The 17,750-nt window shown below is 44.7% G+C and overlaps 1 long non-coding RNA gene across 1 annotated transcript, besides 2 other annotated features; it reads left to right on the top strand.

The window, feature by feature from the left end:
- Positions 6,759 to 14,365, top strand: LOC124903834 (uncharacterized). Its single transcript, XR_007065451.1, has 2 exons — positions 6,759 to 8,360; positions 11,620 to 14,365. It is a non-coding gene; the product is annotated as an uncharacterized LOC124903834 (long non-coding RNA).
- Positions 12,401 to 12,695: a silencer, noted in NCBI's record as "tiled region #3725; K562 Repressive DNase unmatched - State 1:Tss". NCBI's record gives its function as "represses a minimal TATA promoter and a strong SV40 promoter by Sharpr-MPRA in K562 cells {active_cell/tissue: K562}" and the evidence as "EXISTENCE:reporter gene assay evidence [ECO:0000049][PMID:27701403]".
- Positions 17,261 to 17,555: a silencer, noted in NCBI's record as "tiled region #3772; K562 Repressive non-DNase unmatched - State 23:Low". NCBI's record gives its function as "represses a minimal TATA promoter and a strong SV40 promoter by Sharpr-MPRA in K562 cells {active_cell/tissue: K562}" and the evidence as "EXISTENCE:reporter gene assay evidence [ECO:0000049][PMID:27701403]".

The raw sequence follows: 17,750 nt of genomic DNA on the forward strand, positions 1-17,750 counted from the left end.
AGCACTTAAAAATGTAATTATACAACAAATACACCAATACCTGTTCATTGGGAAAGACTCAAATGATACATGAATACATAAAGCAAGACTTGAAAGTTCTCTGTCCCGCCCTCCCTCCCCTACCTCCTCTTCCTTTCCCCAAAGTCCCACTTTGAGGTCTCGCTTACAGTCTGTTTTCTAGGAATTTACAAATATGTAACTCTACACACACATCCACACACATTATGTTTTATACATACACAGAGATTGTACATTATTGTGTCAATTTTTTAAAAATAAAGTAAGGCCGAGCACAGTGGCTCATGCCTGTAATCCCAGCACCTTGGGAAGCCGAGGTGGGTGGATCACCTGAGGTCAGGAGTTCGAGACCAGCCTGGCCAACATGGTGAAACCGCATCTCTACTAAAAAAAAAAAAATACAAAAATTAGCTGGGCCTGGCGTCCGGCGCCTATAAGCCCAGCTACTCAGGAGGCTAAGACAGGAGAATCGCTTGAACCCGGGAGGCGGAGGTTGCAGTGAGCCGAGATCACGCAATTGCACTCCAGCCTGGGCAACAAGAGCAAAACTCCATCTCAAAATAAATAAATAAATAAAAACAAAATAAAATACATAGGATCCTATTGAGTATATTGTTTTGCAAATTGAATTTTTTGAAACAGTATGTCTTAGAAATCTGCTCATGTTCAAGTCCACTTTGTTTATGTAATGGTTGAACAGAATGTTATAGTATAACCACACTGTAATTTAACCTTTTTTTTTTTTTTTTTGAGACTGAGTCTTGTTCTGTCACCTAGGCTGGAGAATAATGGTGCGATTAAGACTCACTGCAGCCTCCACCTCCTGGGCTCAAGCCATTCTTTCACCTCAGCTGCCCGCCCCTTCACCCCCAGTAGCTGGAACTACAGGTACCTGGCACTGCAGGCACATGCCACCACACCCAGCTAATTTTTTTGTATTTTTTTGTAGAGATGGGGTCTCACTATGTTGTCCAGGCTGGTCTCAAACTCCTGGGCATTCCTCTATTAATGGATTTCCCCCATTAAATTTTTTTATTGCAGTAAAATACATACAACATGAAATGTACCATCCTAACCATTTTAAGTATACGGTTCGGTGGTATTAGATACATTCATCCCGTTGTGCAAGCATCAGCACCATCCATCTCCCGAACTCTTTTTCATCTTGTAAAACTGAGACTCTGTATCCAGTAAACACTAACTTTCCTTCCCCCTACCCCTAGCCCCTGGCAACCACCATTCCACCTTCTCTCTCTGTGAATGAGAGTACCCTCAGTACCTCCTCTCCGTGGAATCACATAGTATTTGTCTTTCTGTGACTGGCTTATTTTACTTAGCAAATCATCCTCAACGTCCATGTTGTGGCATGTGTTAGAATTTCCTTCCTTTTTTTTTTGAGACCGAGTCTCGCTCTGTTGCCCAGGCTAGAGTGCGGTGGTGTGATCTTGGCTCACCGCAACCTCCGCCTCCCAGGTTCAAGCGATTCTCCTGCCTCAGCTCCCAAGTAGCTGGGATCACAGGCGCGCGCAACCACACCAGGCTGATTTTTGTATTTTTTGTACAGACGGGGTTTCGCTGTGTTCTTCAGGCTGGCCTCAAACTCCTGACATCAAATGATCCGCCCGCCTTGGCCTCTGAAAGTGCTGGGATTACAGGCGTGAGCCACTGCCCCTAGCCCATAATTTCCTTCCTTTTTAAGGCTGAATAAAATTTAAGTGTATGTATGTTCCACATTTTGCTTATCCTTTCATCCCTTTATAGATTCTTGGGTTACTTCCACCTCTTAGCTATTGTGAATAATGCTGCTGTTAACATGGTGTCCACAGCTCTTCCGGACCCTGCTTTCGATTCTTTGGGGTATACACGCAGAAGTGGAATTGCTGAATCATATGGTCATTCTCATTGTGGTTTTGGTTTGCATTTTCCTAATGACTAATGATGTGGAGCATCTTTTCATCTGCTTATTGGCCATTTGTACATCTTAGATATGTCTATTCAAGTGCTTTGCCCATTAAATTTTTTTTTCCAGGGGCCATGCTAATAATCTGTGTTGTTCCATTTTTAGTATATGTGCTACTGAAGTGTGCACTTTGCCCAGTTTTGAATCGGGTTTTTGTTGTTGCTGCTGATATGATTTGTTTTTTTTTTTTTTTGAAACAGAGTCTCACTCTGTCTCCCAGACTGGAGTGCAATGGCGCGATCTCAGCTCACTGTAACCTCCACCTCCCGAGTTCAAGCGATTATCCCACCTCAGCCTCCCATGTAACTGGGATTACAGGCATGTGCCACCATGCCTGGCTAATTCTTTTGTATTTTTAATAGAGATGGGGTTTCATCATGTTGACCAGGCTGGTCTTGAATTCCTGGCCTCAAGTGATCCACTTGCCTCAGCCACCCAAAGTGCTGGGATTACAGGCGTGAGCCACTATGGTTGACCCACGCATAAGCCAACTTTAATGTTTTTCAATAAAGTTTTGTAATTTCCCCATTAAGCGTTTACACATCTTTTGGATTTATTGTTGGTATTATTAGGTCTGTCTTTTTTTCTTTCTTCTTTCTCTCTTCTCTTTCTTTCTCTTTTCTTTCTTTTTCTTTCTTTCTCTCTCCCTTTCTTTCTTTTTCTCTCTTTCCTTTTCTTTCTCTCTCTCCCTTTCCTTTCCTTTTCTTTTTCTCTTTTTTTCCTTTTCCTTCTTTCTCTTTCTTTCTTTCTCTTTCTCTCTCTCTCTTTCTTTCTCTTTCTCTCTCTCTCTTTCTTCCTTTCTCTTTCTCTCTCTCTCCTTCCTTCCCTCCCTCCCTCCCTCCTTCCTTCTTTCCTTCTTTCTCCTTTTTCTTTCTTTCCTCCCTCCCTCCCTCCCTTCCCTCCTTCCTTCCTTTCTTTTTCATTGTTAATTCCTTTTTTAAATTGTTTTCTGATTGTTGCTGGTATATAGAAATACAGATACTTTTATTTACTTATTTACTTTTTTAAGAGACAGGGTCTTCCTCTGTCACGCAGGCTGGAGTACACTGGTGTGATCAAATTTATGACCTGCTTTTAGGCAAAAAGGGGGAGGGCAGAGAACTCTTTCTGGATCTGTTGATTCTCAATTGCCTTCAGCTCAAAATAATCTTTATGTCAAAGTCGCATATTCTGTGGTGGCCTGTCCGGATCCCCTTCAAGTCTCTCTGACCTTTCTTCTGCCCTCCAGCCTGGGTGACAGAGCTAGAGTCTGTCTCAAATAATAATAATAATACAATAAATAAATAAATAAATAAATAAATAAATAAAGTACGCTTTCCATTCTTGGTTTGCTAAGAGTTTTTGTCATGAGTAGATGTTGAAATTTATTGAATGGTTTTCCATCATCAGTGACATCTTCTGGCTTTTCTCCTTTAATCTATTACCATGGTGAATTATATCAGTAGATTTTCTTTTTCTTTTTTTTTGAGACAGAATCTCGCTCTGTCGCCCAGGCTGGAGTGCAGTGGCGCGATCTCAGCTCACTGCAAGCTCTGCCTCCCGGGTTCATGCCATTCTCCTGCCTCAGCCTCCCCAGCAGCTGGGACTACAGGTGCACGCCACCACGCCTGGCTAATTTTTTTGTATTTTTAGTAGAGACGGGGTTTCACCGTGTTAGCCAGGATGGTCTCCATCTCCTGACCTTGTGATCTGCCCGCCTCGGCCTCCCAAAGTGCTGGGATTACAGGTGTGAGCCACCGCGCCCAGCCTTATGTCAGTAGATTTTCTAATGAACTAGTCTTGCATGCCTGAAGTAAACCCAATGTGGTCATTATGTTTTTATACATTACCAGGTTCTATTTGATAAGTATGTAATTTAAGGGTTTTTACATCTCATGGGTAAAGTTGAACTGAAACTTTCCTTTCTTGTACTGTCTTTGTACAGTTTTGGAATCACAGTTACGCTGAAGTCCTATCTTTTTTTTTTTTTTTCAGATGGAGTCTCACTCTGTTCCCCAGGCTTGAGTGCAGTGGTGCAATCTCGGCTCACTGCAAGCTCCGCCTCCCAGGTTCGTGCCATTCTCCTGCCTCAGCCTACCGGAGTAGCTGGGACTACAGGTGCCCGCCACCACGCCCGGCTAATTTTCTGTATTTTTAGTAGAGACAGTGTTTCACTGTGTTTGCCAGGATGGTCTCAATCTCCTGACCTTGTGATCCGCCTGCCTTGGCCTCCCAAAGTGCTGGGATTACAGGCATGAGCCACCGTCCCTGGCCTAAAGTCGTGTCTTGAGTTGGGGAGCATGTTAGGCCATTCTTGCATTGCTATAAAGAAATACCTGAGATTGGGTAATTTATAAAGAAAGAGGTTGATTTGGCTTACGGTTCTGCAGGCTGTACTGGAAGCATGGCCCTGGCATGTGCTCGGCTTCTGGGGAGGCCTCAGGGAGCTTTTGCTCATGGTGGAAGATGAAGTGATAACAGGAGTCTCACATGGTGGGAGCAGGAGCAAGAGATGGGGGTCGGGGAGTAGATGCCACACACACTTGACAACAACCACATCTCGGGAGAACTCACTACCAAGAAAACTGCACCAAGCCATGGAGGATCCGTCCCCATGACCCAAACGTCTCCCACCAGGCCCCACCTCCAACACTGGGGATAATTCAATATGAGACTTGGGTGGGGACAAATATCCTAACTATATCGGGAGTATCCCTCTTCTGCTTTTCTATATAAATATTTCTGAAGGGTAAGAAATACCTATTCTTTGAATGTTTCATGGAAATTTCCCCTAAATCCACCTGGGTGTCAAGTTTTTAAAAACGGAGCTGAAATTCATCTAACAGAATGAACCATGTTGAAGCAGACTGTTCAGGGGCACTTAGTACATTCATAATGTGCAGTCCTCACTGCTGTCCAGCTCCGTAATACTTTCATCCCTCAGAGTAGATCCGGTGCTCATTAGAAGTCATCCTCACTCCCCAGTCCTCTCTCCCACAGCCTCTGACAAACCCTATTTGACCTTCTACCTCTATGGATTTACCTATAATGGATGTTTCATGTAAATGGAATCATATAACATAATGGAGTAATATTGTATGGATGTACCACATTTTGTTTATCCATTTATCCACTGATAGACATTTGGCTTTGTCTTCTGGCTATTGTGAATACCACTGCTATGAGCATTCATGTACAACCATTTATTTCACTACCTGTTCGCAATTCTTTTTTCTTTTTTTTTCTTTCTTTTTTTTTTTTTTTTTTTTTGAGATGGAGTCTTGCTTTGTTTCCCAGGCTGGAGTGCAGTGACACAATCTCAGCTCACTGCAACCTCTGCCTCCTGGATTCAAGTGATTCTCCTGCCTCAGCCTCCCTAGTAGCTGGGATTACAGGTGCACGCCACCATGCCCAGCTAATTTTTGTATTTTTAGTAGAGACAGGGTTTCACCATGTTGGCCAGGCTGGTCTCAAACTTCTGATGTCAGGTGATCCACCTGCCTCGGCCTCCTAAAGTGCTGGGATTACAGGCATGAGCCACCACACCCAGCCAAGAGCTGATTATTAAAAAGAGTTTCGCACCTCCTCCATTCCCTCTTGCTCCCTCCCTTGCCATGTGACAAGGCCAGCTGCCCCTCCTTCTGCCATGAGTGGAAGCAGCTTGAGGCCTCACCAGAAGCAGATGCTGGCACCATGCTTCTTGTACAGTCTACAGAACTGTGAGCCAAATAAACCTCTTTTCTTTATAAGTTACCCAGCCTCAGGTATTCTCAGGTATCTTTTATAGCAACACTAAATGAACTAAGACACTTTCATATCTCTTAACCTCTTTTTCATATTTTCAGTTTCTTTACTTTTTTGTACTGTATTCTGTATAATATTGTTTTCTGTGTAATATTTTCAGATCCACTGTCTAGTTCATAATTCTTTTTTTTTTTTTTAATTTTTTTGGGATAGGGTCTCACTCTGTCACCCAGACTGGAGTGCAGTGGTATGATCTCGGCTCACCACAACCTCCGCCTCCCAGGTTCAAGAGATTCTCCTGCTTCAGTCCCCCAAGTAGCTGGGATTACAGGTGTGCACCACTACTGCCTAGCTAATTTTTGTATTTTTAGTAGAGACAGGTTTTCCCCATGTTGGCCAGGCTGGTCTCAAACTTCCGACCTCAAATTATCCACCTGCCTTGACCTCCCAAAATGCTGGGATTACGGGCGTGAGCCACTGTGCCCAGCTCTCACAATTTTTTTACCTGTGTTCATTCTGGTGGCTAATGCATCCATTGGTATAATAATTTTAATTATTATATGTAAATTTTATTTTTAGATGTTTTATTTCTTTTTTTTTTTGTCTTAGTTCATTTTTGCTGCTATAACAGAATACCTGAAACTGGGTAATTTATAAAGAACAGAAATTTATTGTCTCACCATTCTGGAGGCTGGGAAGTCAAATAGCAAGGTGCCAGCATCTGGTGAGGGCCTTCTTGCTATGTCATCATATGGCAGAAGACATCACGTGGTGGAAAAGCAAAGAAAAAGTAGAAGAGGCCAGGTGAGGGAGCTCACACCTGTAATCCCAGCTCTTTGGGAGGCTGAGGTGGGTGGATCTCCTGAGATCAGGAGTTCGAGACCAACCTGGCCAACATGGCGAAACCTTGTCTCTACTAAAAATACAAAAATTAGCGAGGCGTGGTGGCAGGTGCCTGTAATCCCAGCTACTCGGGAGGCTGAGGCAGGAGAATTGCTTGAACCTGGGAGGTGGAGGTTGCAATGAGTCAGGATTGCACCACTGCACTCCAGCCTGGATGACAGAGTGAGACTCTGTCTGAAAAGAAAAGAAAAGAAAAGTAGGAGAGAGAGCAAGAGGGGTTGAAGCCACTCCTGTGATAATGAGAACCCATTCCTGCAGTCTGACAATAGTCCACTCACAAGGGTGGCACCCTCATGATCTAAACACCTCTTAAAGGTCACATCTCTTAGTACTGTTACAGTGGCAACTAAGTTTCTTTCTTTCTATTTTTTTTTTTTTTTTTTTTTGAGACAGCATCTGGCTCTGTTGCCCAGGCTGGAGTGCGGTAGTGTGATCTTGGCTCACTGCAACTTCAACCTTCCAGGCTCAAGCGATCCTCCCACTTCGGCCTCCCAAGTAGCTGGAACTACAGGCATGAGCCACCATGTCCAGCTAATTTTTGTATTTTTTTTTTTAGAGACAAGGTCTTACTACGTTGCTCAGGCTGGTCTCAAACTCCTGGGCTCAAGCCATCCTCCTTGCCTTGACCTTGGGATATAGGCGCAACTCACCACACCCAGCCCCTAAATTTTTCAATGACCAGAATTAATCAATTCTATCCTTTCCTCCAAAAAGATAAAAACCTTAGTCTGTTCTCACTTCAGTCCTCATTCTTCTTCTCCTTGAATTAAGCATCCTTGAACTTCTCCTTGCAATCCCAGATCTTAGTTCTCTATTATTATTAATTTTTTAGTTATACATAAAAATTACTTAAACTTCTCTGACTCAAAAAAAAAACCTTCTCCGTGATGTGATTATTATGCACTGCATGCCTATATCAAAATATTTCATGTATCCCATAAATATATACACCTACTATGTACCCGCAAAAATTAAAAATTAAAAAAAATTTTAAAATTACTTAAACTTAACTATAAGTTATAATGGCTGCTTTGCTTATAATTGCCCACTGGATACCACATTTTCCTATTTTTTGGATTTGTTTTTTTGAGACACAGTCTTACTCTGTCGCCCAGGCATGAGTGCAGTGGCGTGATCTCAGCTCACTACAATCTCCGCCTCCCCGGTTCAAGTGATTCTCCTTCCTCAGCCTTCCAAGTAGCTGGGATTACAGGTATGTGCCACCACGCCTGGCTAATTTTTTTATTTTTAGTACAGACGAGGTTTCCTCATGTTGACCGGGCTGGTCTTGAACACCTGACCTCAGGTGATCCACCTGCCTTGGCCTCCCAAAGTGCTGGGATTATAGGTGTGAGTTTCTGTGTGCGACCTAACTTTTTTCTTAGAACTTTGATTACAGCCGTGAGCCACTGCACCCAGCGCCTGGATTCTCTTAGTCTTATTAGGTTGCAATCTTTGAGCAATTCTTTCAGAGAGCAAATCTGAATGTGACAAACTTCCTGAGGTTTTGTATACCCCCAGGTATTTTATTTTGACCTTTCATTTGAATAGTAATTTGGCTGAGTAGAGAGTACAGGACTTGGGTTCAAAATAACGTGTTTTTGTTTGTTTGTTTTTTGTTTTGTTTTTTGAGATGGAGTTTCGCTCTTGTTGCCCAGGCTGGAGTCCAATGGCGCGATCTCGGCTCACTGCAACCTCCGCCTACCGGGTTCAAGCAATTCGACTGCCTCAGCCTCCCAAATAGCTGGGATTGCAGGTGTGTACCACCACGCCCAGCTAATTTTTGTGTGTGTTATTAGTAGAGACGGGGTTTCACCATGTTGGCCAGGCTGGTCTTGAACTCCTGACCTCAGGTGATCCACCCACCTTGGCCTCCCAAAGTGCTGGGATTATAGGTGTGAGTTTCTGCGTGCGACCTAACTTTTTTCTTAGAACTTTGATGATATTAATATTATTGCATTTTCTTTTAGCATTCTGTGTTGCTGGGGCTTGTATAATTCTTACTCCTCTGTAGGTGACTTTTTGCTTTTTGTTTTTCTCTTTGGAAGCTTTATTCTTCTTATCCTTGGTGTTCCGAAATTTTGGGAAACGTGTCTAGGCGTAGTCTTATTTTCAAGCAAATCATTTGGCGTTCAGAGGGCCCTTTCCACATGAAGACTTGTATTTTTCTTCAGATCGGAGAAATTTTCATGTTATATTTTAATTATTTAATCTATGCCACCACTCTGTACTCTTCTCAGATTCCAAATGTCTCTTAACCTTTCTTCACACTTTCTATCCCTTGGCATTTTTACTAAACAGCCTGTTCTTGGCCGGGTTTGGTGATTCACGCCTGTAATCCCAGCACTTTGGGAGGCCGAGGTGGGCGGATCACAAGGTCAGGAGATTGAGACCATCCTGGCTAACACGGTGAAACCCCGTCTCTACTAAAAATACACAAAATTGCCAGGCTTGGTGGCACGCACCTGGGAGGCTGAGGCAGGAGGAGAATCGCTTGAACCCAGGAGGCAGAGGTTGCAGTGAGCTGAGATCCCGCCGCTGCACTCCAGCCTGGGCGACAGAGCGAGACTCCCGTCTCAAAACAAACAAACCAAAACAAAACAAAACAAAATCTGTTCTTTTTTTTTTTCCGAGATGGAGTCTTGCTCTGTCACCAAGCTGGAGTGCAGTGACACCATCTTGGCTTACTGCAACCTCTGCCTCCTGGGTTCAAGCGATTCTCCTCCTGCCTCAGCCTCCCGAGTAGCTGGAACTACAGGCGCCCGCCACCATGCCCACTAATTTTTTTTGTATTTTTAGTAGAGACGGAGTTTCACTATGTTGGCCAGGATGGTCTTCATCTCTTGACCTCATAATCTGCCCGGCTCGGGCTCCCAAAGTGCTCGGATTACAGGCATGAGCTACTGCAGTGGGCCCTGTTCTTATTTTTTATTTATTTTTAGATGGAGTCTCTGTTGCCTGGGCTGGAGTACAGTGGCGCAATCTCGGCTCACCACAACCTCCACCCTCCGGGTTCAAGCGATTCTCCTGCCTCAGCCTCCTGAGTAGCTGGGACTACAGGTGCACGCCACCATGCCTGGCTAATTTTTGTATTTTTAGTAGAGACGGGGTTTCACTATGTTGGCCAGGCTGGTCTCGAACTCCTGCCCTTGTGATCTGCCCGCCTTGGCTTCCCAAAATGCAGGGATTACAGGTAGGGGCCACCGTGCCCAGCCTAACAGCCTGTTCTTATTTCACGAATATAATGTTCTGTCTAATCTCCAAGGATTGTTTTAACATGTTTGCTTTGTGAAATGTTTGCATGGGGAGTTGCATGTTTATTGAGTTTTGTACTTTTCTTGATATTAATTTTCCTCAAATGCTTCGCAATTTAAATTTTGGGCTCATATTTCAAAATTCCTATTCTCCTGTCTGTTGAACCAGGTTCTGATGACATGAGTTTGCCTCTGATAACCACAGCAGAGGAAACACAGGGCAGTGTGAGGAAGGCTGAGTCCTCTCAGTCAGGAGGGCCTTTCTAGCCCACCTAGAAATAGTGCAGATTTCTTGCTACCCAGGGTCTTGCTGTGCCTCTTGTCACCAGTGCTCTGGCCTGTGTGCACATACTCACTGTGACACAGTTTAGCATGAGAGAGGTGGGGAAGGGGGCGAAGGCAGCTGGCTGATCCTCCAAAAGCCCCCAGATAATCACCCTGACTCCTGCCCCAGGGCTCCTTCCTGTTCCCTATTTCCATAAAGGGCAGAGCTTTCTCAGAACTCACAGCCACCTTCACAGAAGTCATCTCCTATAGATTTTTTTGTTTGTTTGTTTTTTGAGACGGAGTCTCACTCTGTCCCCCAGGCTGGAGTGCAGTGGCAAGATTTCGGCTCACTGAAACCTCCGCCTCCTGGGTTCAGCAATTTTCCTGCCTCAGCCTCCCGAGTAGCTGGAACTACAGGTGTGAGCCACCATGTCTGGCTAATTTTTGTATTTTTAATAGAGATGGGGTTTCACCATGTTGGCTAGGCTGGTCTCAAACTCCTGGCCTCAAGTGATCCACTCGCCTCGGCCTTCAAAGTGCTGGGATTACAGGCGTGAGCCACTGCACCCGGCCCCTCCTGTAGATCTTTTAGCCTTTGGTCTTTTCTTTGGTCTTATTTCTCCATCACACAAGACCCATCTGTTTTCTATCTTTCATGAATTCCTGAAACAGTCTGGTATGCCAATAAACACTTTTGTTTTTCAGTAATGGGTTTATTCTGAATTTCAGGAGATTTTCAGATGTGTAGCAGGAGGGCTATGGGACTCTTTGTGGCCCTCCATATCCATGTTACATTACACTCCTGGCTATGACCTGTCACATAGTTGTTCTGTGCCACTTTGATTAACAGCACAGTGTACCTTGTCTTGGTTGGTCTTCATGCTTACAGGAAAAAGACCTGCCAACATCAGGATTTGTAACCAGAAAAGGCATTGAAAACATATCCTCAAAATCAGGCTATCAAATTTTAGAAGGAAACCTTTCAGACCTAGAATCAGTTATGGAGAAGTGAGATGATAAACAGTTCCAGAAACTGTAAATGGACTGCTTCTAAGCCACAACTTGTCTTCGTACACACTGATGTATACATAATATGGCAAAGTTTTATGTGCAACTGAGGGTGTGGCATTTATGATTCAGAAAGAATGAGTTCGTGTAGATGGAAATGGGCATTTGGGTGGGGATTAGGCAAGGACAGAATTATAATGCACGCCGGGTGGATGGTAACACCTCTTTTTGTCTATACCAAAACTGTTCAGAGAAAACTGTATCCATAAAACTGACTTTTTGCGATTACTAAATACATAGAATCATTTAAGTATCCAATTTGAGAAAAAAAATTACATGAGTAGAAGTCATCCACAGATGAGTAGTCCAGGTTTTAGAGGAAAAAAACTTTAAGTGAACATTTCAGTTGGGTAAATTCAGTTTCTCACTGAGAATCTTCTCAATCTCATCTTGCCAGATGACAAATGACTGTCTATTATTGTTAAGGTTTGTGGACTCTTACAAAAGGAACAGTCGAATTGATTCAGCATCAGCTAAGCATGGAAGAAAAAAAAATATGTAACTGTGAAAACAAAAACAAAACAGATTTCTGGCTGCTGTCCTCAGAAGCCTCCCGCACAGACGATGTTCCTGACAGGATCAACAAACGTCGCATTTCACTGTCCCACAGTGCAGCTTCGTCCATCAGCCACTGACTGGCATGGGCCAGGAGCAGTGTTGGTCTCGGTGACAGTGACTTCCTTGCCCTGCTCTGAATGAGTGTCCTTTCTGTGAAAGTAGGTCTCATGGTTCTAGGGCTGATCCCAGCGCCATCCCACAACATTTCAGTGTGCCCGACAGCGTGCCTGGCAAGCAGCGAGCTCCTGACAATTGGAAGCTGCTAATGCTGTTACAGACATCTGCAAGCAAGTCAGATCAGCCAGCTTCCATCACGTGAGACACCTTGGAGGACAAAGCCACATTGTGTGGAGGAAAACACACCACCATTCAGGCCCATCGTCATCCTGCTTTCTCCTATACTCAGTCTCCCACAGTGCCAGGTAGTTTTCTGCCTGTACTAAGAAGGGTGAATGGAAAGGTGAGATGTAAAAACAAACAAACAAACAAGGGCTCGAAATGTCTATGGGAAGATAAAATTGTAGCAGTGCTTTAGAAAACAAGAAGCGCATGATTAAATGGACTGTTGTTTTCTTTAGAATGCGGGTATTATCATTGGTATTGAGGTGACGCATTAGGACTTTGAGGTGCCTCCCCCACCCTGGCCTCTGCGCTGGCAGTGAGAACCCAGCCCGTGCTATCTTCACAGTTCTCAGCCCATGGAAGCACAGGCCACCTGGGCTCCTGCAAACACCAGACGTGTAATTAGAGGCTCCTGGGCTGGGATGATGTGGTGTGCAGACAAGTCTTATCACGCGTCTGAGCCGCTGTGGGTGCCTGGAGTTGCCTCTGCAGCCCGGAGCGGATGAGCGGAGGCTCCCGTGACTCACCCAACTGCAGGAACTGTCAACTGGCTTCTGCCCAGCCAAGAACTTTTATCAATCACTAAGTAGAGACACTGTGTACAAGGACACCGGTTCATCCAAGAACATCAGGACAGCCAGGAATTCAAAACACAAAACACAGCTTCCTGCATGTTGCACCCCAGGCGGCTCTGAGGCTCAGCCCAAGGAAGGTTTGGGGCTCGGGCCAGAAAGACACGATTCACTCTGACTTACACAAGAGGGGAGTGTACAAAAGTCATGCAGTCTCAGGGGAAGGCACTGGGCTAAACCCTCATGACTGTAAAATGAAGAAATAGGCATGAAGCATGACTAGGGTGTTTATTTGACGAGGACCCAGAGTTATGTCCAAGGAATGAAGGCGTTGCCTTTCTACAACAGAGCAAAATGTCAAGTTAACTGATAACATGTACATTCCTCAGGACTGGTCCCTCAGTGAGACAGCGTTTTTAGCGGGGAAAAAAAGAACAAATATAAGTGTTTTCCTGGATGCTGTTTTAGGGAGCTTGCTACAGGTTTACTTGCTTGCGGTTCCTGGTAGGTTTCAGGATTCCCAGGGTGAGAGGTGATGGGCCAAAGAGAGGCACGCTAAACTGATAGCCTGAGATCACAGCTTCCTTCCTTCCTTTCCTTCCTCCCTTCCTTCCTTTTCTTTTTTTTTTTTTGAGATGGAGTCTTGTTCTGTGGCCCAGGCTAGAGTGCAGTGGCGCGATCTTGGTTCACTGCGAACTCCGCCTCACGAGTTCAACTGCCTCAGCCTCCGAGTAGGTGGGATTACAGGCGCCCACCACTGCGCCCGGCTGATTTTTGTATTTTTAGTAGAGACGGGGTTTCACCATCTTGGCCAGGCTGGTCTCAAGATCCACCCGCCTCAGCCTCCCAAAGTGCTGGGATTACAGGCGTAAGCCACCGTGCCTGGCCTTCTTTTTCTTTTTCTTTTTTTTTTGAGACGGAGTCTTGCTCTGCTGCCCAGGCTAGAATGCAGTAGTGCGATCTCCGCTCACTGCAAACTTCGCCTCCCAGGTTCAAGCCATTCTCCTGCCTCAGCCTCCTGAGTAGCTGGGATTACAGGCATGCACTACCATGCTCGGCTAATTTTTGTATTTTTAGTAGACGGGATTTCACCATGTTGGTCAGGCTGGTCTCGAACTCCTAACCTCAAGTAATCTGCCCACCTTGGCTTCCCAAAGTGCAGGGATTACAGGCATGAGCCACCATGCCCAGCCCCCACAGCTCTCTCTCTAAGACAAGTGCAAACTAGTACCTGGAAAGGAGTCCTTTCTTTCCATTCCCGAGCCCCCTCCCCACACCAAAACCCCACCTGCTGCCATGTGGCGGGGACGCTGAGGAACACTGACTATCACAGAGCTGCCTTAATGTAAATGATTTCCTCAGGTGCAGAAAAACATACACACCAAGTATGGTTTGCCACTCTGAATTCTGGACAGATAACATGACGGCAGAAGTAAGCTTGTTTAAACACGCTCTAGTAATAGCTTCTTAGTGGCTGAGGTTAAAGCATAGTGAAATTTGATACATTCAGGTGAAAAGCAAACATGAAAATTTGCATCCTCCCAGCAATCAAATTACATTAGACATGGCTAAATCATGATTTCATGTAGTTAACAAGCAGTGAAGGGTGAGGCCAACCAAGTTCAGACAAATTGAACCTTCTACCCAATTCTACTCTCCTCTCCTCCTTTCTCCGAATAAAACCCAATACTCCTCTTTAACAAGTTGTATGATTCACATGCCGAGAGGAAAAGGGCCAGGTTGTTTGTCAATTGATCTAGTCTAAAGAAAACAAGTCCTTGACTGTATTTTAGTTTGAACAAAACTTATTTTCCTAAGGATAAGAATACCTCGAAACTCTAGTACTAAGTTAGAAATTCACACTATGCCTCCTGGCTTGTCACGCACTTCCAATTTGAAAATATGGAACCTCAAGGCTGTAGATATTTGAGGCCCTTAAGAGAAAAACAATTCATGTTTTTTTGTGTGTGTGTTTTTTTTTTTTTTTTGAGACAGAGTCTGGCTCTGTCGCCCAGGCTGTAGTGCAGTGGTGTGATCTCGGCTCAGTGCAACCTCCACCTCCTGGGTTCAAGCAGTTCTCCCTCCTCAGCCTCCCGAGTAGCTGGGACTACAGGCACACGCCACCATGCCTGGCTAATTTTTGTATTTTTAGTAGAGATGGGGGTTTCACTATGCTGGCCAGGCTGGTCTCGAACTCCTGACCTCGTGATCTGCCCGCCTCAGCCTCCCAAAGTGCTGGGATTACAGACGTGAGCCACCGTGCCCGGCCATGAATTCTTAAAAGTGTAAAGGACTGTTTTTATTAGAGCAAATGCAAATTAACCTTGCAGGAAACCATGGCAGATCAAAGTTAACATGCCTTAATTTTATCTTTTCAATGACAATGGCCATAATGCATTATTTACATGACTCTCTCTCTCTCTCTCTCTCTCTCTCTCTCTCTCTCTCTATATATATATATATATTTTTTTTTATTTTTTTATTTTTTGAGACAGAGTTTTGCTCTTGTTGCCCAGGCTGGAGTGCAATGGTGCGATCTCAGCTCACCGCAACCTCCGCCTCCCAGGCTAAGTGATTCTCCTGCCTCAGCCTCCCAAGTAGCTGGGATTAATAGGCTCGTGCCACCACACCCAGCTAATTTTGTATTTTTAGTAGAGATGGGGTTTCTCCACATTGGCCAGGCTGGTCTCAAGCTCCCAACCTCAGGTGATCCGCCCGCCTCGGCCTCCCAAAGTGCTGGGATTACAGGCGTGAGCCACCATGCCCAGCCTGACAACATATTTTTAGAGTTTTATTAGCTTTTTACAAAATGCCAGAAGGCCAAAATTAATTTCTAAATTAATTTGAAAAAGTAGCACCTAAGTTCATTTTGATAGTAACTACTTCCAGATAAAATCCTACATGAGTATTGTGCCAATGTCAGTTTCCTGATTTTGATAAATTCTATGTCATCACTGGGGGAATCTGGGTAATGGGCATAGGGGATCTATTTTGCAACTTCTTTTGAGTGTATAATTACATCAAGATGAAAAGTTAAAAAAAAACTATATAAGAAATACAAAACTGTGCTAGGAGCTTTACTTATTTTTAAGAGAAAAGCTCCAGTATATCCTAAAACTATTAATTATGTGATGAAATTAAGAACCAAAATAGAGACTAGCTTAAAATACATGTTGATTCTTGAACCAGTAGATATATGAATATGGCTTTTCTCTAGTCAACTGTGAATTGCTCTGGAAGATGAAACTCTATGGCCTTTTATTTTATTTTTTAGGGTCCCTAATAGTGAAGAAGCATCCTCTTTTTTTTTGAGACGGAGTTTCACTGTTGTTGTCCAGGCTGGAGTGCAGTGGCTTAATCTCAGCTCACTGCAAATCTCCGCCTCCCGGGTTTTAGTGATTCTCCTGCCTCAGCCTCCCAAGTGGCTGGGATTACAGGCATGAGCCACCACGCCCAGCTAATTTTTTTGTATTTAGTAGAGATGGGGTTTCACCATGTTGGTCAGGCTGGTCTTGAACTCCTGACCTTAGGTGATCCACCCGCCCTGGCCTACCAAAGTGCTGGGATTACAGGCGTGAGCCACCGCACCCAGCCAAGAAACATCCTCTTAAAGAGAGTTCTTACTTTTCACAGCATAGTTAAGACATCTCTTGAGACCTAGAGATGGATAAGCAACAAACAGTATTAAACTTCCATTAGTGTGTTTTTGGAATTTATTAAAAACAAGAGGATACACATCACATACTTGACTGTTGCAGCATAAGAACTGACAAAATTGGCTGGGCGCAGTGGCCCACGCCTATAATCCCAGCACTCTGGGAGGCTGAGGTGGGTGGATCACCTAAGGTTAGGAGTTCGAGACCAGCCTGGCCAACATGGTGAAACCCCGTCTGTACTAAAAATACAAAAATTAGCCGGGCGTGGTGGCAGGTGCCTGTAATCCCAGTTGATCGGAAGGCTGAGGCAGGAGAATCGCTAGAACCCTGGAGGCAGAGGTTGCAGTGAGCCCAGATGGTGCCACTGCACTCCAGCCTGGGTGACGAAGACTTTGCCTCAAAACAAAAAAACAAAAAACTGACATTTACTATTAACCCAAATTTTGAATTCACTTGTAAGAGAGCCCCCTTATCCTCGGCTTCTGTTTGCTGCCACGAAATGGTATCTACTAACCAGTCCCTTAGGTGTGCATAGCACTACAGTGCGCTCTGGCATGGCCTCACATATACTGACAAGGAACTTAAAGCTCAGGGAAGTGAAGTGAATCCTTCCTATAGAAAGTGGGAGGTCAGCCAGGCGTGGTGGCTCACACCTGTAATCCCAGCACCTTGGGAGGCCGAGGCAGGCGGATCACCTGAGATTGGGAGTTCAAGACCAGCCTGACCAACATGGAGAAACCCTATCTCTACTAAAAAAATGCAAAATTAGCCAGGCGTGGTGGCGCCTGCCTATAATCCCAGCTACTTGAGAGGCTGAGGCAGGGAGAATCGCTTGAACCCGGGAGACGGAGGTTGCGGTGAGCCAAGATTGGTGCTACTGCACTCTAGCCTGGAGCCTGGGGTGACAAGAGCAAGAAGACTCTGTGTCTAAAAAAAAAAAGGGAGAAGTCAAGACAGGAACCTGGGTTTTAGGCCAGTACTTTGTTGTGTGACATAACCATCTTTGAGAACTCAACAGTGCATAAAGTGGCAGCTAACACGCAGCTGATTTCCTATTGGCATCTTACTTAGCAACAGAGAAGAGTGTCAGAAGTCCCGGGCTTGACCTATGCCACGAGAACTCTTTAGAATTAACTTGCTTTGTGTGCTGGTTGAGGAATAAGTTGACAGGCAGAAGGTGCTAGGGGATGTGTTCCGGTGGTAGTGTGGCATTGGCATGGCGGCTAGGCACATTTGCTTAGCCAGGAAAAATCAGGGAAAAGGTATATGCTTGCAAACACAAGTAAAAATACAAAGGTAAGATGGAAAGCAAACAGAACTAATGAAACATATTCTTGACCATATGACCAAGAAAAGGTAGTGGAGGGGAGGGGAGAGGCAAAAAGTCTCAGAAGCAGACAAAGTTCTGCAAGTGCTGCATTCAGACATC

The sequence above is a fragment of the Homo sapiens genome, chromosome 1, assembly GCF_000001405.40.
Source record: "Homo sapiens chromosome 1, GRCh38.p14 Primary Assembly".
NCBI classification, from domain to species: Eukaryota; Metazoa; Chordata; class Mammalia; order Primates; family Hominidae; genus Homo; species Homo sapiens.